The sequence below is a fragment of the Homo sapiens genome, chromosome 8 (assembly GCF_000001405.40).
Source record: "Homo sapiens chromosome 8, GRCh38.p14 Primary Assembly".
Lineage (NCBI taxonomy): Eukaryota > Metazoa > Chordata > Mammalia > Primates > Hominidae > Homo > Homo sapiens.
Genome location: NC_000008.11, coordinates 106,745,880 through 106,771,206, shown reverse-complemented (window position 1 = coordinate 106,771,206; position 25,327 = coordinate 106,745,880). Strand labels below are relative to the sequence as shown.

Here is a 25,327-nt window from a genome sequence, read left to right as displayed (position 1 = left end):
TCAGCCTCCCGAGTAGCTGGGACTACAGGCGCCCGCCACTACGCCCGGCTAATTTTTTGTATTTTTAGTAGAGACGGGGTTTCACCATGTTAGCCAGGATGGTCTCGATCTCCTGACCTCGTGATCTGCCCGCCTCGGCCTCCCAAAGTGCTGGGATTACAGGCGTGAGCCACCTCGCCCGGCCTCCAATAATAATTTCTAAAATCCAATGTGTATACAGGTTTTAAAAACATTTTTTAATGATTGGACCAAAATTTTGACTCCCTTTTTGTATTTTAATATGAGTTATCTATACAATAGTTCAAAGTTGGGACTAGAAAGTAATTAGTCTTTGACTATCTGGACTTTGGTCTTTCTCGTATCTGGGCTTCAATTTTCTCATTTGGAAAATGAAGATTGGATGAGTTGATTTTCTAAGGTCTATTTCTAATGGAGTTGAATGAAAAAGAAAAAGGCAACTTAGGATCTTTGATAACTGGAATAAAAGGAGGCACACGCTTTGAATTACACAGAGATGGATTTGAATCTCATATTTTATTAGCTGCTGGAAGTTAGATTTTATTTTACTTAGCTATAAAGTGGAACTAATTAGGAGCTGTACTGAGGGCTGCTGGGGTTTAAGTGGGAACAATCCTATAATGTTCCCAGGATAATATGTATGCACCTATAAATGGTAGGACCATATTAAGGTCAGACAAACGTAAGGCTGAGCACATGACTTGATCTAGTAATTTCCACTCTGGCACTTGGAGAAGAGAGTGAGCATATCACTGTTCCTTACCAGCAGAGATGTCCCTCTGCCGTGATGAAACTGGAGCTGTCATGATTTATAAAAAGAACACCATCAGGGCAAAGGCGCCACATCTTGGCAAGAAATGCTTCACATAGTTTCCATCGTCACTAAGCTCTCCTTCCCACCCCGCACCCTGCTTCTATTTAAATCCCAGGCACTCCACTGGACCACACTCATTTTAGCCAGTGTCCAGGCTATCAGCAGAGAAAGACAGGTGGGCAGCATGGCTCCGGGCGAAAAGGAAAGCGGGGAGGGCCCAGCCAAGAGCGCCCTCCGGAAGATACGCACAGCCACCCTGGTCATCAGCTTGGCCCGAGGTTGGCAGCAGTGGGCGAATGAGAACAGCATCAGGCAGGCCCAGGAGCCTACAGGCTGGCTGCCGGGAGGGACCCAGGACTCACCTCAAGCTCCTAAACCAATCACACCCCCTACTTCACACCAGAAAGCTCAGAGTGCCCCAAAGTCGCCACCCCGCCTGCCAGAAGGACATGGAGATGGACAAAGCTCAGAGAAAGCCCCTGAGGTTTCTCACATCAAAAAGAAAGAGGTGTCCAAAACGGTGGTCAGCAAGACTTATGAGAGAGGAGGGGACGTGAGCCACCTCAGCCACAGGTACGAGAGGGATGCTGGTGTGCTTGAACCTGGGCAGCCAGAGAATGACATTGACAGAATCCTCCACAGCCACGGCTCCCCAACGCGGAGGAGAAAATGTGCCAACCTGGTGTCTGAGCTAACCAAGGGCTGGAGAGTGATGGAGCAGGAGGAGCCCACATGGAGGAGTGACAGCGTAGACACAGAGGACAGCGGCTATGGAGGAGAGGCTGAGGAGAGGCCCGAGCAGGATGGAGTGCAGGTGGCTGTGGTCAGGATCAAGCGCCCCTTGCCCTCCCAGTAAGTGAATGCATTCTCCCACTCCTTGTGTCAGGATCACTATTGAGCCCCAACCAAGTCTGGGAATCCAGGCAGCAGATGAAGTCCTGCCAGGGTTAGAGTGAGAATCTCAAAGACTGGACAGGCAGTGAGTACTGTAGAGGAGGGATGTCCCTGGGCTGAAGGTCAGTGCCAACCTTAGACATGGACCTTTTGGTCAGGGCCTGCGCTATTTTGTTTCTCGTTTTTGTTTTGAACTGAACACTCAAGTCTTAGCCTCAACAAAGATGAAGCCATCAGAGAGGGAAGCCTGTTTTTCGTGAATTCTTTAAGTCAGTTCTATAATGAGTAACAAATTGGCTTATTTCTTTAGAGATAAGAGTGGTTTCTGATAGACTCATTGGGGAAACTTTTACCTTGTCCCAAATGTCTATGCTATTATCAGGAGATACGTCTGCTTCAATAACACCCATGGAATACAAATCTCTGACTCTAAACAGGTGGAGGCTGCTGTCTAATTTGAAAGCAGGCTCTGAATGAAGTCAGACAGACCCAAGTTCAAATCCTAGTTCTGCCCCTAACTAGTCATTTTTAAAGGTGATTTCATCAGCTGGGCGCAGTGGCTCAGCCTGTAATCTCAGCACTTTGGGAGGCTGAGGAGGGCGGATCACTTGAGGCCAGGAGTTTGAGACCAGCCTGACCAACATTGGTGAAACCCCATATCTACCAAAAAACACACAAAAATAGCTAGGCACAGTGTTGTGCATCTGTAATCCCAGCTACCCGGGAGGCTGAGGCATGAGAATGGCTTTAACCCATGAGGCTGATGTCGGAGTGAGCCAAGATCATGCCACTGTACTCCAGCCTGGGCAACACAGCAAGACTCTGTTTCACATAAAAATTAAAAAAAGCAGATTTCCTCATTTGTAAAATGACAGCAACAGTAAGCTTTTGGGAGAAGTTCTATTGTATTGGGAAACGTAAATGAGATTAGGGCTACCAAACACAGAGCTTGTCACATATGCTCAATACACGAAAACTATTATTATTCACATAGATTTGGTTACTTTGCAACTTTTCAAATTTTCAAAAACAGTTTGTCCTATTTGTAAACAAATACAGCAATAATTAAAATATCTAGATGGTAAATACACATACATACACTCACATACACATTTACTCAAACTGAAACATGTATATAGACAAGAAACACGTGCTTTATTTCAAGACAGTAACTCCACATGGTAGAAAGTCAGGATTTCTTATTCCACAATGCCAGGGTATCAAAATATAAGAAAAATGTCTGATGTCATTACATTTATAGACTGACTCCCTTTGGGGACAGTTTGATGTGCAAGTGTGTTTTTCAAGTCTTATGAAACAATAAGAAAATAAAGAAAAAAATTGTTACCTAATTTGACAAAAAGCTGTTCCTTTTTTTTTTTTTTTGAGATGAAGTCTCACTCTGTTGCCCAGGCTGGAGTACAGTGGCACGACCTCGGCTCACTGCAACCTCCATCTCCTGAGTTCAAGTGATTCTCCTGCCTCAGCCTCCTGAATAGCTGGGATTACAGGTGCACACCACCACGCCCAGCTAATTTTTGTATTTTTAGTAGAGATGGGGTTTCACCATGTTAGCCAGGCTGGTCTCGAACTCCTGACCTCAGGTGATCCACCCACCTCGGCCTCCCAAAGTCCTGGGATGCATGAGCCACCGCACGCGGCCTAAAGAGCTGTCTTATAGTTTGAGACTGTAAAGGTGTTTTGAAAGAATTAGAACTACTACACTGCCAGCTCTCAAGAAAAATAAAATGGCAAATGGGTAATTACAATAATCTGTCACGTGTTCAGTGTGTGCTGTAGGTGTTTAAATGCTTTGTCGCTTCACTTCTCATAATCCTTTGAGTAGCTATTCACTCATTTCAGGGATAAGAACACCAAAGCTCAGAGGGGAAGTTTGCCCAGCAAATTAGTGACAAAGCTAAGACGTGCCCTACTCCAAATGCAATGTTTTAAAACCAGACATGGTTCCAACCTTCATGCAGTGTCTTGAGGATGCATTCAGAGGTCTGGATTTGTGCTTAATGTAGGAGTTCATGATCAGAAGTAACTATGCTATCCGAACATGAGGAACCATATTCCAAACTCTGGCCTTTTGGATCTTGGGACATGTGTGCTAGAAATGGAATAACGGGGTCCAAAAGAATAAAGACTGAGGGGGCACAATGACAAGATCTTTCTCTCAGCACATTTTAAATTAACTAGAAGTAAGGAGGTGACAGCTGGGACCGATCCTGAATGCATAGTAGAGCTAGACATTCTTTGGCACTTGTCTAAGCACTTTTCATATATTTATTTATTTAATCCCACAATATCCTCATATGATAGGTTATAATCATCATCCCTCTTTGATAGATGGAGAAAGGAGATGAAGAAATATTAGGGAATTTGTATGAGATTTTACAGCCCATGAAATTTGAACTCAGTCATTCTGGCTCTGAGTAAACTGTCTCACCTAAAAGTGGGGAGTGGGATACAGGACCCATCTTGGGGTTCCCCAAATCAGGCTGGCACATGGGCACCTTCTTAATGTGTTGAAATGCCTACGCTTGGAATAAGAGACAATTAGATTTGAATCATGGTTACTTTGGTAATCCTGAGTCTCTCGGTCCTTATCTAAAAAAGAGATGTGATAACTCATATCTCACGGGGTTATTTTTATATTAGCTATGTAAAGTGATAGACTCAGGGGACCTCATTAGCAAATTGTACTCATCATAATACAGGAAGCCAGGCTTGGTGATCCCAGCCCTTCAAGATGCTAGGAGCTTGGCTCTGCAGGTTCAGAGTAGTAGTGGTGGTTAAATCTCTTCTTTCCTTTTTTGGTTCCTTTCCCTCTGTCTTAGAGTACATAGGGTACCAGAATGTTATATGCAGCAACAGCAGCTCTTAATTCCAGTGGTAATCCTAGCTGTGCTCAGGAAACTTCAGCAGAAGCCTCATGGGAATTTTTGCCCAATGATACTCTCAAATATTGCTTGAGAAATGAAAGCAGCATTACTAAGCCAATTTGGAAAGCCTTTTTGTCCACTTATTTTTAATTATAGGCACCCTTCTCTCCCTGTATCTGCCAATAAGGAGACAATTATGTATCACAGATGTTTAGGTGGAAAGAAAGTTTCTTGGTGGTTAAGATGTTCCATGGATAGTAGAAACAGATCAACTGTGAAAAAAGTAGATAAATTCTTTACCAACAGTGGTTCTTCTGACTGGAGTTTTACTATGAAAATGGTTCATATTTTGTCTTGCTTTAAAAATATTCAGTCTTTTGATCGTATGTGACTTGTTCAATCCAGTTCCTTTAGACAAAAGAAATTAGATCTCTCTCTCATAAAGGTGCAAGATTAAAGTACCAATCACTTATCCATCCTGTCCTCCATGTTTAATTCAGTGAAAATAATAGCAGTTGAGCAGGAGGCTGCCATTTTGTAAATAGGGAAACTGACACACAGAGACATTAAGAAACATATAATCCAAGTCACAGAACGAGGAAGGGATGAAGTTGGGAAGGCTGATGCCAGCACTTGTGTTCTTAACCACTATGCTAGACTGTCCCTCTTAGTAGAGAACAGACTTAAGGACCAAAATGGAGATCAAAATGTGGGCTTAATTAGTGAAATCCTAATGACTCCCAAAGTTCAGGGTTTTGGTGCAAATGTATTGAAGGATCTCACAAGAAACAAAGGCAAAATTATGCTGTCCTTCTGCCTGTGCCCAATTCTAGGGCCGCGAACACTTTCAATAGACTCTGAAGACAGTTCAATCTGCAAGGAGAATCACAGGCCTGGCTCTCAAACGAAGCTGAAAATGACAGACAGCAAAACTGCTGAGCAGAAATGTTCATATTGCCTTTTGAATGCTGTCACTCTGCTTCTGATAAATGTGCCCCTCTTGATGTCACGCTCTCAGTAATCAAATGGGCTAAACTGTCTGTAGGGAAGGACAAGCAAACCAATGCAGCATTTCTCCTAGAAGTTGGAAAGGGTAGCAGAGACTCTTTGCTTTCCTGACAGAGGAGGGTGCCTGCATGAGGAGGAGAAATACTCCCTCTACAGGAAGATCTATGGAGTTGGCAGTGAAAGCCCATTTTCACTTTCTCCATACAGATCGGAGACAGAAGAGAAAATCATGCCTTTAGGCGTCCCATGCATTTTGAAGCTGGTGATTCAAGTGAAGGGCAACCACCAGGAAATGTTTTCAGTGCCAGTGTTTTCAGTGTAGCTGGGACTATAGACACGTGCCACCAGGCCTGGCTAATTTATATTTTTGATTGACTATAAGAAAGTTTTTTTACTAATAATGAAGAAACTGAGAAGGTGGGTCTGGATTTAGGACTGCTGTTGTAAAATGCGGGTGAAATGTTAGCCTTTAAATATCGCTTTGCTTTCTTTCAATTTACGCTAGGTTATCTTTCTAAAGTTCAATCTAAAGTATCACTCACATTTTTCCCTGAAATTTTTAAAAACAGCATAATCTGGTATCGATTCTTACATTTATAGTACTTACGACCAAAAAAAAAATTCAGTGTATAAGACTTTCTAACCCTGAGTTAAACCAAATACACTTTGACCTTTTAAAAATTGGAGATATAAAAACAATACAGAATGTTTATAAAATAGAGAAAATTAGATGCTCATTAGGATGAGTTTCCTTCTTTTTTTTCCTAGCCCTATTTTCTAATTCTTCCTTATGGGACCAACTTTCTTTGGTGTTCTTCCCTCCAATTAGAGGGCATTACAATTTGACAATATAACAAATAGACATTAATATTTAAATGGTGTTTCTTTTAGAAGCTCTTTACAGTCTTTTTTGTTTGTTTGTTTGTTTGTTTTTAATAGAGTCTCTGTCACCCAGCCTGGAGTGCAGTGTAGTTACACCATCTCGGCTCACTGCAATCTCTGCCTAACAGATTCAAGAGATTCTCCTGCCTCAGCCTCCTGAGTAGCTGGGACCATAGGCATGCGCCACTATGCCAGCTAATTTTGTATTTTTAGTAGAGATGGGGTTTCACCATGATAGCCAGGCTAATCTCGAACTCCTGGCCTCAAGTGATCTGCCCACTTCACCCTCCCCAAGTGCTGGGATTACAGGCGTGAGCCACTGTGCCTGGCCTAGAAGCTCTTCACAGATTTATTGGCACACACCAATCCCAACTGTTATCCCAAATGACACTAAGTTTCAACATTTAGGGAAACTAAGTTCCTAATTAAAAATTAGAAGAAAAAAAGGCTACATCAAAGAATCGGAGACCCATATAACGTGCAGTTTAAACAAATTACCTCTGGATGCAAATTTGAGTATTTACCTATTTTTTGCTTTCTTTGTTACAAAATCAGTATAATACCAACATATAAGAGAATTTTGAAAAGTGAAAAGAACCAACTGCTATCTGGATACCGACATAATTACTTTCAATTGTGCAAATGTTATTAAATTCTTCAGCCTAGTGCTTATACATTTTACAGAGTTGTGATTGTACCATAAACCCAAATTTATATTACTTTATTTTCATTATAAAATATCCAATAAGTACCTTAAAAAGTGCCTGGCACACAGTAAGTATCACAAATAAATACTTCAAAGCATGGGAGGGATGTAAACATGCTCAAAAACTGTTTAAAGCCAGGATGCATTAGGATTTATACAATAGGGCAGAACTACAGTTGGTGCTCAGGAGACAAAGTATGAGTTAATAAATCACACCATTCACTTTCATTTGAGATACTTCAAGCCTCTTCTCTGGCAGGACACCTCAGCTGTTAAGTCTGGCATGAAATTTATGCTCTGCTAGGATGGCCTTGGGCTTGATATTGAAGAATATGCCTTTGATCAACATGGTGATCAGTCATTGATTAGCATGGCTCACAAGGGACAAGGTATTTGCTCTCTTTTGATAATGAGATTGAGCAGCCCACACTGAGGGCAGCTGAACAGGAAAAGTCGATGGAGAGGCAGGGAATCAACTGACAAGGAGGGCTGAGGGAAATCCATTACACTTCAGCCTGGTGAGCTCCTAGCACTTTTTCACACATATATTTTATAAAGTTGTAATAATTGTGTATATGGTTTTTGTGTGCTTTCTTTTACTAATTAACTTTGTCATACACTGTTATCCATGTGTATAAAGGATAGTGGTGTTACATGTAGGAGTATTTCCAATTCCAATTCTATTGTGCTATGAAACGATATAGCAAGCGTAGGACGTTGGGAAACACCAAGCATAAGAATTGATGAAAGTTCGCCATCTAGTGGATGTCATTTCTTTTTTGAAAACAATGTTAATGTAAGTATGTATTCCTCCCGGTCCACGTGTTTGGTTCCAGCCTTTGGGTAACCAGATTTCGGGAAGTGAGTTTGGATGGTGAGGGATACCCAAATCTGATTGGTTCCTGGGTTTTGAATAGTAAATTGTGAGAGCTGGGATAGCTCAGGCATGCCATTCACACAAGTACTTTCAGCACCACTTGAACATCTGCAATCCCAATGCTTCCAGGCATGAGGCCACTTGTTACTGGGGAGAAAAAGGGAGGGTGGGACGCTTGTGATGGTTAGGAGTACAACTCTCTTTTAGATAGTTCAAGAGTTCGTGTTTTAACTGTTAAGTTAGAGACCTAGGGAAAAAGTCTAGGCAATTGGAGACAGAGAAATGGCAGGGATGTCTTTTTGAGTTCTGGGATACACGTGCAGGATAGGATGTGCAAGTTTGTTGCATAGAAAAATGTGTGCCATGGTGGCTTGCTGCACCTATCAACCTGTCACCTAGGTATTAAGCCCCACATGCATTAGCTATTTATCCTGATGCTCTCCCTCCCCCTGACCCCCAACAGGCCCCGGTGTGTGCTGTTCCCCTCCCTGTGTCCATGTGTTCTCATAGATCAGCTCCCACTTACAGGTGAGAACATGTGGTGTTTGGTTTTCTGTTCCTGTGTTAGTTTGCTGCCCCATCCTAATATTAGGCTGGCATCCTCACGATACTACTAGTCTACACTTTCCAGAGTTGGTTTTTTAATAGAAAATGCATTCTGAATTCCAAAGATATACACATTTAAAACGCAACTTATTCCTTTATTAGACACTGTATGGGCCTGCTGAGTGGCATCACTACATAGTAGAAAGAGCATTGACCTTGGTCTAAGGCAGTCTTGCGTTTGAATCCTGCAACGTCACCTATTTAGGGCAGTATTTCACAGTTATAGACAGGCTCTGGAGCCAGCTTAACTTTGGTTCAAAGTCTAGTTCTACCACTTAACAGTTTTGTGACTTTAAGAAGTTACTTCATCTCTCTGGCCTCAGTTTCCTCATTTGTGAAGTAGGAATAGTAGTACCTATCTCAGGAAATGGTTGTGGGGAATATTAATAAAGCATTTAGAAGAATGCCAGTACATAGTGTTCAGTAAATGTTACTATTGCTAGCTAGTGTTTTCTATCTGTACAACTTCATATTTCGAAGTTTGTGGCATCATTGATACTAGTCTATATATGCTCTCACTGAAAAATCCACATATAAAAATCTATATATGATTAAATATTAAACTGCATGTGTAGTGGTAGAGTCCTTACCTTTGGGAAATAATTGGTTTCAGAGGTCCTCTAAGAACTAGATTCCTGAAAACACCTACATGATTTCAGTTCTAAAATGTTACCAATACTCAACTTAAAGATATACACATTTGCATTAACTTTGTGTGGGGAAGCTTTTTTCTTAAAATAGATTTTAATATCATTATAATGCTTAAAATCGTTATTCATAGAGAAAACAATCTAGAAGGATATGCACCAAACTAAGAACAACGGTGGGACTATGTATGATTTTTCTTCTTTCATTTCTAATTTTTTATATTGTGTTTATTTTTGTAGTGAAAAAATTATACTTACATTAAAGATGCATATGTGTGGGAAGTACAAAGGGAAAACAACACTCGGTGTTAACATATCTGAATCTTGATTGTTCACCCTCTCTCTACTTTAGGGTAAACAGATTTACAGAGAAACTCAACTGCAAAGCCCAACAGAAATATAGCCCAGTGGGCAACTTGAAAGGGAGATGGCAGCAGTGGGCTGATGAACACATACAATCCCAGAAGCTCAATCCTTTCAGTGAAGAGTTTGATTACGAGCTGGCCATGTCCACCCGCCTACACAAAGGAGATGAGGGCTATGGCCGCCCCAAAGAAGGAACCAAAACTGCTGAAAGGGCCAAGCGTGCTGAGGAGCACATCTACAGGGAAATGATGGACATGTGCTTCATTATCTGCACAATGGCTCGCCACAGACGAGATGGCAAGATCCAGGTTACTTTTGGAGATCTCTTTGACAGATACGTTCGTATTTCAGATAAAGTAGTGGGCATTCTCATGCGTGCCAGGAAACATGGACTGGTAGACTTTGAAGGAGAGATGCTATGGCAAGGCCGAGATGACCATGTTGTGATTACGCTACTCAAGTGAACCTTCAAAAACAAAAGCCAAATTTGGCCCACTATGGTCTTAATGCTAAATGCTCATGTAGGTAAAATGAAAATGCAAACTCTCTGTAATAAGTTAGTAAATATTAAACAATTTTTACATAAACGACTTTCTGGCATTCTATTTCTATCTAGAATGAGGAATTTTGGAGATTTTGAGAAGGCACAAAGCATTTCAGAAAGCACATAGAATGTTAATGTATAATAATAGTATTAATAGTTGAAATTCCACAGGGTGTTTTTGTTTTTGTTTTGAGACAGATTCTCTTTATGTCACCAAAGCTGGTCTTTTAACTCCTGGCCTCAAGTGATCCTCTCACCTCAGCCTCCCAAGTAGCTGGGATTATAGGCATGAGCAACAGCACCCAGCCACTTGTATATTTTAGGCAAAATATTTAGCTAGTCATTGTAGAAACTACTATAGATTTTTAATTAAACATTACATCTAAGAAGAATGCTGACTTGAGATAAATATCAGTAGAACATATAATAATGTGTCTTTATTTGGAAAAAAGAAAATACCATTAAGTTTGGTAAAACTAAACTTAAAATTTTTTCAGAAGCTTGACTTTGTATTATTGTTTATATCATAGCATCACTTACAAAACAAGCACATATATAAAAAGTTGTCAAGATGTTGCTGAAATTGTTGAAGTTCCTCTGTGGGCTTGGATTCTAACAGGTTTCCAGTAAGAGTTCACCTTCCTCTTGTTTGATTTCAGCAAATCACATAAAAACAGACACTTCCTGTCTTAGTACCAACAAAGGAAGGCACACCCTCACTAAAAGTAGAGCAGAGGTGAGAGATTCAGATTTACTTGCCTTTGTAGGACTTCTTGGAGAAGTTTATTGTTTCATTACATGTCAGCATATAACGAGTCAAGCTGCTTGCATTAACATCAATGCAATGATATGTATTTCTCCAACAATGGAGAAATACAGAAAATCTATGAAGTGGAATGTTCAGTATTAGAAAAATCCCATAGAATCATTGGTGAATTAAAAACAGATTTGAGACAGTTTAATGTTCCTCATACTGTAACAAAGAAAACTTTATGAAATGTTTAAGTCATAAAACTGCAATATTAGTTCTGCCAAAGTAAAAAATATACAATGATGATGGCAAGGAGAAAATCATTGGACATTAATGTGCCTATGTGATCTTAAAAACAAATGGAATGGAATGTGAGATTGCAATTCTTACTGGATTCAATGAAATTACTAAAATGCATTGATAGTATAGCACTTTGGTGTTAAATGTAAAAATTAATGTCTAAATATGATACCTCAAAATAATAGGTATTAGACTGCTATAAGAATTATATTTGTTTTCATGTATGAGTCTCTTTCAAACTGAAGGTTCTGGTATCTTAAGAAAGTATGCGTATTTTGTTTCCATACCGTATTTATAAAGCTATAAGTTAATGACCAATATTTCTAAGTAGGATTTCATGTAAGATGCACACTTCTATTACAAGTGAAACCTACGCCAAATGTTAAAGACAAATAGCATAAGAATAAAAGATGTTTTCTTGTATTTTCTGTTCTTGTTTTTATAGTATTTATAAGTTATATTCCACATACACTTTCTTCTGTTTGAAATACAATAAAATTATAGTGTGCAACTTAGGTTACTTATAGTATCAGTAGAATATGTATTAATAGATGAAGGTTTCAAGAGTCTCCTCATATTCAATTCTGAATAATATTAAGTTATGCAGGCACTGACATAGATTATTCAAAGTTCAATTTGTTTGAGTGTAAGGATGGAGTAAAAGGCCTCTTCTCAGACAGCTTCTAAGACATTGACACTCTTCTGAATAAGGCCTGGCTGTAAAGTGAGAAAGCTACTTTCCTTAGATAAAAACGCCTGCTGTGTGATAGGCACATCTTCCCAAGCACCTTGTGAGACAGATATCATCGTAAGAGGTGTCTTGTGATACTAGCTTGTGGTTTGTAGACTTTTTTCTTTATTGTGTATTATTCTTCTGATAAATATTTTATTTATTTTTAAGGCCATTTGTCATCTTAATGTTTCCTGAATTGGGATCCAAAAATATCTCCTCAAACAAAATATTATTATCCTACAAACTCCATGATAGGAATATCCATAGTTGGAAAAACTTAAGATATTTTGACAAAAAATTAAAACAAAAAATAAAAGAACTCAGGTGGCAAACAAGGTAATGAAAGTCCTCATATTTTGGGCCGGGCGCGGTGGCTCACGCCTGTAATCCCAGCACTTTGGGAGGCCGAGGCAGGCGGATCACGAGGTCAGGAGATCGAGACCATCCCGGCTAAAAAACGGTGAAACCCCGTCTCTACTAAAAATACAAAAAATTAGCCGGGCGTAGTGGCGGGCGCCTGTAGTCCCAGCTACTTGGGAGGCTGAGGCAGGAGAATGGCGTGAACCCGGGAGGCGGAGCTTGCAGTGAGCCGAGATCCCGCCACTGCACTCCAGCCTGGGCGACAGAGCGAGACTCCGTCTCAAAAAAAAAAAAAAAAAAAAAAAAAAAAAAAGAAAGTCCTCATATTTTTATAGTTACCAAATAATATATGAAATCATGTTATTTTATTACTGATAATTCTAAATTCCCAATAACAGGCAATATACAACTAATTTCCCAATCTTCAGGATTTTCCTTTTCCAAACTTTCAATCAGATGTTCGGAGGGTTTCTGTGCTGTACTTTATTACCCCTTCTATCTCATAACTTAAAGTTGTGTAAGTTCACCTCATCACTCTGCCGACTTACATCACAAGGAGGGAGGTTCTGAGCGTGGGCTTTCTTCTTCCCACAGTGTTGCAAGATGAGGCTGCATCTATTCTTGGTTTGCCTTCTGCTTTTTCCTTTCCCTTCCCAAGCTCTACTTCCTTCTTTTTCTAATCACTACTAACTGATAAAACGTAAGAATACCCAGTGCTGTTTCTCACATGATATAGAAACAATTCTGTGTAAACTAGAATTTTGTCAGTGGGAACTTCTCTATTACATTACTGAACAGTAATGGGTATATAAGTAATGGGTATATAAGAGGAGCAGGAGACCATGGAGTCCATACTGAAGTGACCCCTTAATGTAGATGTCCCCCAGGATTCCTAGAATATTTTAATTTCATTCCCAGTACCTATATTTTTAGTATAAGAAGTACACAGTCAATTTCTGTTACTTAATTTAAAAATGTGCTCTATGACCTAACCTCTCAGCCTAGAGGTTTTGTGGTCCATCCACCAGCTATCATTCCCATAAGGATTATCTAATAATACTATGTGCCCAGATTTGGGGGGCATGCAGTATCTAACAAAATTACATTGTATTTACTTTTTGACCAACAAATCCCACTCCTAAAATTTCTATAGAAGATACAACTCAAGCAATGTGAAAATACATATGCATAATGTGTTGTGCCTTGTTTTTAACTTAAAATACTATAAACAACCTAAAACATATAGGAAATGGTCAAATCAAGTATGGCATATGCACAAAATAGATGCAGCCATGAAAGAAAAGGAATATCTTTTAAGAAGTGAAATAGAGGGCCAGGCACGGTGGCTCACACCTGTAATCCCAGCACTTTGGGAGGCTGAGGCAGGCGGATCACGAGATCAAGAGATCGAGACCATCCTGGCTAACACAGTGAAACCCCGTCTCTACTAAAAATACAAAAACAAAATTAGCCGGGCCTGGTGGAGGGCGCCTGTAGTCCCAGCTGCTTGGGAGCCTGAGGCAGGAGAATGGCGTGAACCTGGGAGGCAGAGCTTGCAGTGAGCTGAGATTGTGCCACCACACTCCAGCCTGGGCGATGGAGTGAGATTCAGAGTATACCTCTTTATAGGGTTAGAGGTTTTGACTTTTGGGAACTTAAATATTATGCATGAAATAAAGTAAAATCAAATAGAAGTAGGAGAAAAACTAAAATTGGACACAAAGCAAATAAACTGAATTCTATTTTATCTTATTAAAATAACTACACAGGAAGAAAAAAGAAATGTACCCAACTTTTGAATACAATACTTTTTGAATAAATACTTTCAGTCTAAAGACATAAAAGAACTACAAAGAAATGTCAAATTCTACTTAATTTTGGTGTTTGGGAGGGCATGGGTTTGGCAATTCTGAAATTCTAAGGTGTGTATCATAAAATGAAGCAAACAAGTAAATACACAGATGTCCTGACTGTGGGGGAAGAGACAAACATGGAATGAGGGAAGACAAGCAAGAACTCTGTGATGTGAGATTGCAAGGAGTGGTATTGGTGTGAATTTATGCTGTATTTAGATGTCTCCTGAAAGGCCCTAAAGTGATACCACCCTAGTAGCAACAAGTGCCCCTGATTCTAAATAATATTCTCCTGCAAAGGAAATATGGGTCCTTTCAGAAATGGCTGATTCTAGGATTGGGTTACAGAAAGTACAAATAAATCTAAAACATTTTTGTTAAACGAGGAGTAAGCAAATGCTCAAGAAAATTGAAAAACTCATAGAAATAAGACCGATGGGGTTCTGACTGGTTAAGTCTAGGATAGAAATTGATTACGTAACCTTTTGAATTAGAAAAAAGAGAATTCGGCCGGGCATGGTGGCTCACGCCGGTAATCCCAGCACTTTGGGAGGCTGAGGCAGGCAGATCATGAGGTCAGGAGATCAAGACCATCCTGGGTAACACGGTGAAACCCCGTCTCTACTAAAAATACAAAAAAAATTAGCGAGCGTGGTGGTGGGCGCTGTAGTCCCAGCTGCTGGGGAGGCTGAGGCAGGAGAATGGCATGAACCCGGGAGGCGGAGCTTGCAGTGAGCCGAGATCGCGCCACTGCACTCCAGCCTGAGTGACAGAGCGAGACTCCATCTCAAAAAAAAAAAAAAAAAAAAAAGAAAAGAAAAGAAAAAGAAAAAGAAAAAAGAGAATTCATTAGTTCATACTGATAATACATATTCATAAATGATGGAGAAAGGAAAGCTCTTCCTTGTAGTAAATGGCAATGGCAACTAATGTGTTGGGAATGAAAAAGTTTAAAAATACGCATCTCTCTACATATTACTTATTACACAAGGAAAACTGATAGCAGGAGAGAAACATGGTAGACACTATCTAATCAAATAATCAAAGCTAATATCACCAATAAAGGGATAAACATACATTATGTGCACCCTGATTTGATGCAGAGGACAACACTTCTTTGGTTTTCCTATGAAAAATGCATAACCAAAATTTAAGCATAAGGAAAAATTCAGACAAATCCACATCAAAGCACATTCTACAATCCTGAAATTTTTCAAACACACAACTAACTGTCATGAAGCAATGAATAATGAGCTCTTCCAGGTTAAAAGAGATTAAAAAAAAAAAGGGCAGAACAATTGAATGCAATGCAGGATCTTTGGATCATGAACCAGGAAAAATAATGCTTGAAAGGATATTATTAGGGTCACTGGAGAAATTTGAAATGAATTACATATTAGACCATATTATTGTATTAATGTTAAATTCCCTGAATCTGATCATTGTACTTTGGCTATTTAGGAGGACATCTCTGTTCTTAGGAAATGCATACACATCTTTATAGGTAAAGTGAAACAATGAGATGCAGTAAATTAATAAGTAGGGTGTGTGGGTATGTGTACAGGAGGAGAGAGGATGGGAAGTGAAGAGAGCAAGCAAATAGTTCTGTAAACATTCCAGCACATCTCTTGGTAAACACATATACATATTACTGTTCAGTACATATCACTGAATTAAATTTGCTGGTCAAAGTCATGTGTATACTTAGCTTTAGTGGATACTGCCAGAAACATTTTCCAAGGTTGTTCCACTCTACATTCCCTTTTAAAACAGCTTTCAGTTTTGGGTTTTACATTTAAGTCTTTAATCCATCTTGAGCTGCTCTTTGTGTATGGTGTAAGGAAGCCGGGGTGATTCTTCAAAGACCTAAAAGCAGAACTACTACTCAACATAGCAATCCCATTACTGGGTATATACCCAGAGAAATATAAATCTTTCTACCATAAGGACACATGCATATGAACGTTCACTGCAGCGCTATCCACAACAGCGAAGACATGGAATCAACCTAAATGTTCATCAATGACAGACTGGATAAAGAAGATGTGGTACATATATACCATGGAATACTAAGCAGCCATAAAAAGAATGAGATCATGTCTTTTGCAGGAACACGGATAAAGCTGGAGGCTATTACCCTTAGCATACTAATGCAGGAACAGAAAACCAAATACTACATGTTCTCACTTATAAGTAGGAGCCAAATGATGAGAACTTATGAACACATGGAGGGAAACAACAGACAAAATGGTCTACTGGAGTGGGGGTGTGGGAGGATGGCAAGTAACAGAAAAGGTAACTGTTGGGTACTAAGCTTAATACCTGGGTGATGAAATAGTATGTACAACAAACCCCTGTGACACGTGTCTACCTATGAAACCAACCTTCACATGTACCCTCAAACCAAAAATAAAAGTTGGAGAAAACAACAGCTTTCACTCTTATTGGACACCTTCTTACTTTCAATGATGTCTTTTGATGAAGTGCTTAAAGTTTTAATGTAGCATAATTTATTTTTTTCCTTTATATTTAGTGCTTTTTGTGTCCCATTAAAGAAATATATGCTTACCCTAAGGTCATGAAGATATTCTCCTATATAAACTAATGTCTTTATTGTTTTGCTTTTCACAATTATTTTTCAATCTCTAATTGTTTGTGGTGTGAGATAAGACTTTTTGTTCCATATAGATATCCAATTAATCTACCATCTTTTTTTTTTTTTTTTTGAGACGGAGTCTTGCTCAGTCGCCCAGGCTGGAGTGCAGTGGCACGATCTCTGCTCACTGCAAGCTCCACCTCCCAGGTTCATGCCATTCTCCTGCCTCAGCCTCTCGAGTAGCTGGGACTACAGGCGTTCGCCACCACACCCGGTTAGTTTTTTGTATTTTTAGTACAGACGGGGTTTCACCGTGTTACCCAGGATGGTCTCGATCTCCTGACCTCGTGATCCACCTGTCCTGGCCTCCCAAAGTGCTGGGATTACAGGCATGAGCCACCACACCCGGCCTAATCCACCATCTTTTATTGAACAGACTGTCTTCTTTACTGAGCAGACAGCAGTATCACCTTCTTCAGAAATCAGTTTCTTTCTGAACTTTTGACCAATATATTGTCTTTCTTACTCAGCTTTCTAATAAATCATGATTATCTGATACTGAAGACCAGACACTCAATTCTTCCATGATGGCTTAGCTATTCTTTGATTTTACATTTCCATATAAACTCTACAATCAGTTTAATTTCCAAAAAATAAGCCTGGGTGAGATTTTCACTGTCAATATAATTTAAGAGAACTGATATCTTTTAATCAATATTGTCTGCCAGTAATGAATATGGTATATCCTTCCTATTTTGGTCTTCACTTTGTTATATATCTGATATTTTCAATGGTATTACAAATGGTAATACATAAATTTCATATTTGTTTGCATATAAAAAGTGAAAGAGTTTTATTGTTTTTTGTTGACTTTTAAAGTTCATCTTTCAGAATAGTATATAAAATGTCCTACTCCCAAAAAGTTTATTCTCCTGTTTCTCACATCATACTCTCATAAAGTCCACGACTAACTTCATTTTGCCACCTGCTTTTTTTTGTTTTTCCTCTATGTACCTTGCCCATCTTGATAAATAATACAACTAAACTCTTAAATCAAAATCCTGGGAGCTATCTTTAACTTTTTCTGACATCCAATCAATAATCAACTCCTGTTCATCCTAACTCATAAATCCTTTCCAAATCCATGCTTCCTTATTACCATTACCACTGTTCTTATTCGGGCCTAATCATTTTTTTTCTGGACTTTATAAAAGGCTTGTTTTCCCCTTGTCTCTAGTTGTTCCTTCTACTCATCTATTTTTCACAGATATTTTCCTAAAGTATACACCTGATCATGTCATTCCTCCTCTCAAATGTTAACTGAACCTACGGGATACAAAATATCAAAATTTCTTGGCATTGCACACACATAACTGTTTATGATAAGGGGCTTAGCTTGTTATGCATTCTCCACCCAAAATGAAAACAATGTACTTTAAAAATATCAAATAACTTACACTTTCCCATGTGTCAAGTGCCTTCTCCCATCTCCATTTTAAAAAATGTAATGCTCCCTCTAATTGAATGCATTCTCCTATCACTATTACTCCTAACACCATGACCACCACCACCACAATGTAAGCTATTAGAAGCATTAAAAAAAAAAAGATAGTAGTAGGCTTAATCAAAGACTTGTTAAGAAAATGAGTATTCAATAAATCCAAACTCATTTGTATTTCTGTATTTGATTTTATTTGGTATATGCCACTATGACCTTATTTTAGTAGAAATCCATTACAGGATTTTTAAATTATCATTAGTCAACTCCACAAAGACAATAATACTGCTGTGGAAGACCGAAGGGGAAAAAAACTGATATATTTATTTACAATTCCCTATATTGTAAACATTTAATCTATATATTGTTACTAACTTATAATGAGACAAGGAAATGATGCCCTGTATTTCTATTCATATTCAGCAATAGCATATTATAATAGAACATCAGATTTTCTTTTCCATTAGCATTATGCTTTCTTTAAATAATTATCTAAACTTTCAAAAGAACTAAATATGTAAGTGCTATACAACTAAATCTACTTAAGCCAAATATTTGGCTTATAATTTCATTTTTAGAATAACTTAAAGTGCTATAAGCAACCTGGCAATCAACACTTTCTGTAAGAACAAAACTACACCTTTAAACATTAATTTACAAGATATACAATGTTTATCTGGAATAGCTGAAATTTCAGCACAAAGTCACTGTCACATGTATAACAGCAGGATTCTTTTTTGCATAACATGAAGCTTTAAAATCAACTGATGAATTATTGCCACAATGGCTATTATTGGTTTCCTACAAAAGAGGATAAGAACTACTAGTGTATTCTATCTTTTCATTTTTTTTTTGAGGTCACTTGACAGTAAGTTTGCATATTCAACAAGTCTACTGAGTTACAATATTGTCTACTATAATCATTGCCCTTTATAAGAGCAAATGCTAATGGTAATTAATAACATATACCACTCAAAGAAAATCACAATTTTTTTTTTCCTTTTGAACAAGAGTAACCTATATTTTGGGAGTTGGTGTGCAATAAGGCTAAAACAACCAAATTATAAAACAGTATACCTGACACAGTATGTTGAGGAAATATGCATCTGTTTCATAGTTTTTGTACTTATGTTAATGCCTTACTAAGCTACACATATGTAAATAGTATGTTTTCTTGCTAATATATTAAATCCAATAGAATCATTAAGTTCTCATTCTCCTTTGTGACTTGTAACTTTATCAGATAATTTAATGATGAAAGCATATGCCCAAACCTGCAGATCATATGTACTGTCATCTATTACAACCAGAATTCTCCTCACATTTCATTTTTCTTAAAAGGAAATTGAGAATACCTGCAACATCGTTAAAGAGAATGTTGTAGTGTGAATAAAAACTAGAACTCAGTGGTCTATGAAGTATGTATTATTTTGGCAAGTGATTTTTTCCTTCCTAAGAATAAGATGAACATGTCCAAATGTTACCTGTGCCAACTTCACAGATACAGAAGTATCCAGTCTTCATTTCCTCAATGCCCCAATTAGACTGTTCTAGTAAACGAATCAATATAGTTAAAAAAAAAAAAATCAATACAGGTTCAACAAAAGAGCACCATCCTATTAGGGAACTGAGTAACATGTGAAAATGAAGTTGTCATTATAATCAAAATGTTGCCCAAATTCTAACAAACCCAAGCTGTTATACTAGTACATGGACGCAGTCCCTAGTGTTAACCTAAAGAACTCTGGGACAAGAACATGATTTGAAAAATAAACTCCAAAATTATAACTGTAATAAATGGTGATACAGACTAATTTTAAAGCACAAGTGACATGTTACACTGTATTGCTTCTTGAACTTTCCAAACAATGCTTGTCCATGTCAGGTTTGGGCCATTCTCCTGCTAAGACAGAGAGCATTTTATTTATTCAAAAGCCCAGATTTCAATATCTTGGATAAAGAAATCTTCCTTCTTAGAAAGTGTACGATTCCCAAACGTTTTACAAGAATGGCTTCTTCCATGGTAGAGATCTCCATCAAGCCAAAGCGCAAATTCTCCTCTGCAATACATAAATAATAATCTGTTAATATTTATGCCTTAAGTTATAAAACAATTTAAATGAGACTTTGAATACCTAACAACCCTAAAGTTATTAATTTTCTCAAATCCTTCCCTACTCCTTTCCACACTGACACAATTTTGTTTTACTCCTATTCCATTAAAAAATTATTTATGGGCCGGGTGTGGTGGCTCATGCCTGTAATCCCAGCACTTTGGGAGGCCGAGGCCAGCGGATCACCTGAGGTCGGGAGTTCAAGACCAGCCTGACCAACATGGAGAAACCCTGTCTCTACTAAAAAATACAAAAAAAATTAGCCAGGCGCGGTGGCACATGCCTGTAATCCCAGCTACTCGGGAGGCAGAGGCAGGAGAAGCACTTGAACCCAGGAGGCGGAGGTTGCAATGAGCCAAGATTGCACCATTGCACTCCAGCCTGCGCGACAAGAGTGAAACTCTGTCTCAAAAAAAAAAAAAAAAAAGAAAAGAAAAGAAAAGAAAAAAATTATTTATGATACAGACCAGGAACAGTGTCCTCTATAATGAACTTTATATAGGATTAGCTTTTGAGACAGGTACTACGCTGTAATTTTTTGCCTGGTATTATGAGTTTTTCTTTGGGTATTTTTTTTAGTATGGTTTTTTTTTTGTGTATGTGTGTGTTTATCTTTTCGGTATGGTTTTAACATATTTAACATGACTTTCGCAAAGGCACAAAAATTCAGTATCATCTAAAATAAAATTTGGGGATTCATGTTAAGGACCTAGTAAATAACTCTGGTTTCCTGCATAGGAAGCTGTTTGCAAAAGAGCTCAGTTTGAAAGGACTTTAAATGGACAAATATGTGATGTTGAGATTCAAGCAGAAGAACCAAGATATAATCTAGGTATAACAGGAACTTAACAGATAGATTATAAGGTCCAATTTATCTAATTATCTAATACATAACCGAGAGGGGAAAACACCAGGTTATGAGAGGACTTCTTTCTATTCTCTAGAAAATGTTTTCCTACCTAATAGAAGAGGAGAGGGGGCAAAGACTATTAATTAACATAATATCCAGAGAGCTATCCCTTGGGATTCTCTAAATCTAAAGTAATATATCAAGTCAGCAGAATTGAGCCAGAGTTTAGGAGGCGGAGGCTTTTTTAAAAAATATGGGCAGTTATATTTCATTGAAAGAAAAAAACTGGTCTGGGATCAAGACTTGTCTGTCAACTCAGTGGCCACAACTTATGTCAAACTTAGTTAAGTCACTTAACCTCTCTGGGGTAGAGTTTGTCAATTATATTAAAACACACAAAAAAGAAAAGCATATTAGGTAATTGTAAAGACTTACACAACTCTATAATTTGGGTGGCTATAACCTCTGACCTTCAGGCTTGCCATCAGGAGTCACATGGCATTACAGAGTTAACTGACTTGTGTGGGAGAGGAACTGACCTATTTTTTTTTTTTTTTTTGAGACAGAGTCTCGCTCTGTCACCCTAGCTGGAGTGCAGTGGCGTGATCTTGGCGCACTGCAAGCTCCGCCTCCTGGGTTCACGCCATTCTCCTGCCTTAGCCTCCCAAATAGCTGGGACTACAGGTGCCTGCCACCACGCCCGGCTAATTTTTTCTGTTTTTTAGTAGAGATGGGATTTCACTGTGTTAGCCAGGATGGTATCGATCTCCTGACCTTGTGATCCACCCGCCTCAGCCTCCCAAAGTGCTGGGATTACAGGCGTGAGCCACCGTGCCTGGCCTGGAACTGATCTATTTTTAACACTATCTTAGAACAAAAGAAAGGAACTATTTATTTATACTCTGTAATAAAAAACAGCATCAAATATATAATGTATATTAATTACATATACAAATTTTAAGTATAGAGATGTGTTTCTAAGTAGAGAAGGTGGCTACAGTGACCATGTAGAATGGTTCCTTTAAGAGTTGGGGCCGGGTGCAGTGCCTCACGCCTATAATCCCAGCACTTTGGGAGGCTGAGGCTGGTGGATCCCCTGAGGTCAGTAGTTTGCGACCTGCCTGGCCAACATGGCGAAACCCTGTCTCTAATAAAAAATACAAAAGTTAGCTAGGCGTGGTGGTGGGCGCCTGTAATTCCAGCTGCTTGGGAGGCTGAGGCAGGGGAATCATTTGAACTTGGGAGGCAGAGGTTACAGTGAGCCAAGATTGTGCCATTGCACTCCAGCCTGGGCGACAAGAGTGAAACTCCATCTCAAAAAAAAAAAAAAAAAAAAAAAAAAAAAAAGAGTTGGTACTTCACAACAAAACAGAAAAGACAGATCAGTATAGTAATTCACAATGACCAGGTAAAGAGATCATCCAGTGTCACTCAAGAAGAGAGTTGACAGTACAAAAAAACTGTAATGGGATAACCAGTGATGACGTTCTGATGAACCTCTTCTATAAATGAAAATGGGACTTTGCTAAGATACAAGAACACCCTGAAAATCATAACAATCCAGAGTCTGTGATACAGAAGCACTGCAAAACTATATCGTCCCCAAAATGCCCCCTGTCCCATGAGGAAGCCATCATTTGTTAAGGTTCAAATTGAAATTCATATTTGTCTAATTTGTTCAACTTTAAATGTGCATTTATCATGTTTCAGACACTGGCACTGGAAAATACAGAGATAAATTAGAAACGCATTTGAATTAAAAAGTTTATGGTCTTATGACAATAGACTTCTAGAGACTCTAACTCTACTGGCAACAACATGCCTTTAAAGAGATATCTGAATCCATGAGCCTTAAAAGCGCGAATAGACTATCATAGCCAATCTATTAGAAAGGAGAATATGAAAGGGTCAGACTTGCTCATAAAAACCTTCTGCTAAATATGAAAGGGTTAATAAAAGATTAAGACATCTAGTTGTAATCTCAGATGACTGCATCTAAGTAGTACCTCAAAATTGACCTTCAAGATTCATGAATGTCACTGATGCTGCAGTAAGTTTTATTACCAAGTATGAATAGTTTTTTCCAAGGTAACCTGAATTTTCTGAAGCCCTGAGTAGAAGCTTTCAACATTTTTGTCAATTTCTTAATATCACATATAAAATTGGATTATTTGTATATTCATTTTAGGACAATGGGTACCTCTGCATTTCATCAGCATTTCAAAAAGGTATGTGATATCCAAATATTTAAGTAAATGTATTTAAGAGGTTACAGATCTGTCCCAGGTGAAACACCCAGAAAGCCAGAAAGTGTATTTTTATATGAGCAATGCTTTCAAAGATGATTCATACGACTTTCTGAAAAGAGAATGGCTAAGGAAGTGGAAGGAATAAAAGTAGTCTTCTAAATCTTTAATTAATGTCTTATAGCTCATGCAGCCAATGATACTGCAGGCAGAATTCTTCCTGGTATCAGAAGGGAACAGATCATGTTGGATGAAAGAAAATGAGTAAAGGTGGCTATCAGTTTAGGTGGCTATCAGTTGTTGAGTACTTACTATATGCCAGATACTATACTAGGATTTGCACAAAAATTATATCCTTGTGAATTCCTTATAATCTCTCTACAAAACTGGTTTAATCTCCAATTTATAGCTAAGGAAAGTTTAGATTTGTTAAGGAGTTTGCTCAAGGTACCACATACAGCATATGTTGAAGTGAGAATCTGAATCATGTCTATTGGACTCCAAAGCCTACATTAAGTCCACTACATCATTTTTCTTTTGGGGTGCTTTTCCCTTGGAATTCTGGAATATCAACTCCCTGTAGTTTCTGCTTTCTGAAGCTGTACTCTCCTTTAAACACTGAAAACTTATATTAATTTATTATCAAATAACCCAGTGGTTACTCTAGCTTGGTGAAATCATGTTGTACAATAAAATCTAGTTCCAGCAGACATCTAATGGCATTGTGTATGACATTTTTGAAGACTTAAAGCACCCATAAAATCTTGAAATTATAAGCCACTAGATTGAGTGGACCTGTTGGAGAGCTAACAGAATCACATGTAAGACTACTGTTTAGGGGAGGGCTGAATGATACCCCCCCCAAAAGGTATAATTGGACCATGTAAATACATGCTGAGTTCAACAACTAAAACTAACAGAGAAGGCTACAATAACCATGATCACTTTTTAATCACCCTACTTATATCCTCCAAACACCTACTTACAGAGAAGTTGTAAGAAAATTTGTTAATAATAGAATAACCTGGGATGATGAATATTCTTTGGTGGTCTGAATAAATTATCATTATATATCCTCAACTGTGGGATACAAATAATGTAACACTTTTACAAGTCTGAAAATTATTTAGCATACCCATGTCTAATACTGAAAGACAGAAATACCAAAGGAAGGAGTTGTTGCTTGCTAAGCCCAGGCTAGGTGGGACCAGAGCAGCCTACCTCCCAACAATGCAAAGATTAAAGGAGGCTGGGATACCAAATAAAAAACAAAGCTCCTCACAGTACTTGCAATGCCAAGATAATCACATTATTGTCTGATTCATAATTGTTAAAAAACAAGCAAGCAAAAACCCCATTTCCATTATTGTCTAAAATATCATTCCAAATGGTCTCCAGAGTAGAATAACATGAAAACAATTGGACTTGTTCTATGCATTGGGAGAAATAAAATATTCCATCACAGTTATTTAAAAATTAGAGAAGTTCAAAGGTACTGAGATATTTCCCTTTATATTATCAAAGAGCCACTGTGCTCTAAAGAAAAAGATGGGTCTTAATAAACAGTGAATAAACTGAACAGTATTTTAAAATGAAGAAACAAATACTCCATCAATAGTTTCAATAACTACACTTGAGCTACTTCTTGCAAATACATTATACTCTCTTTTTCATAATATACAAATTTGAATTCTAACGTCAACACTTTCTAAAGACAACTGAATTTATAAATAATCCAAATGCATTTTTAAAGTTCTTCAAAAATCTCATAGTGAA

At 38.3% G+C, this 25,327-nt stretch overlaps 2 protein-coding genes across 18 annotated transcripts in view; one reads left to right on the top strand and one right to left on the bottom strand.

Moving 5' to 3' along the window:
- Window positions 1-962: 962 nt before the first annotated feature.
- ABRA (actin binding Rho activating protein) lies at window positions 963-11,724 on the top strand. The gene is made up of 2 exons (NM_139166.5): window positions 963-1,684; window positions 9,693-11,724. Exons 1-2 carry the CDS (start codon window positions 1,017-1,019, stop codon window positions 10,168-10,170), a joined length of 1,146 nt encoding a protein of 381 aa, NP_631905.1. The 5' UTR covers window positions 963-1,016; the 3' UTR covers window positions 10,171-11,724.
- A 6,788-nt stretch (window positions 11,725-18,512) lies between these two features.
- Window positions 18,513-25,327, bottom strand: part of OXR1 (oxidation resistance 1) — a 482,517-nt gene continuing 475,702 nt past the window's right edge. For all 17 annotated transcript variants that reach the window (NM_018002.3, NM_001198533.2, NM_001198532.1 and 14 more), the window contains one exon: window positions 18,513-20,401. In NM_018002.3, coding sequence (NP_060472.2) covers window positions 20,266-20,401 — 136 coding nt within the window. In that variant the 3' untranslated portion in view covers window positions 18,513-20,265. The remainder of the gene's footprint in view (window positions 20,402-25,327) is intronic.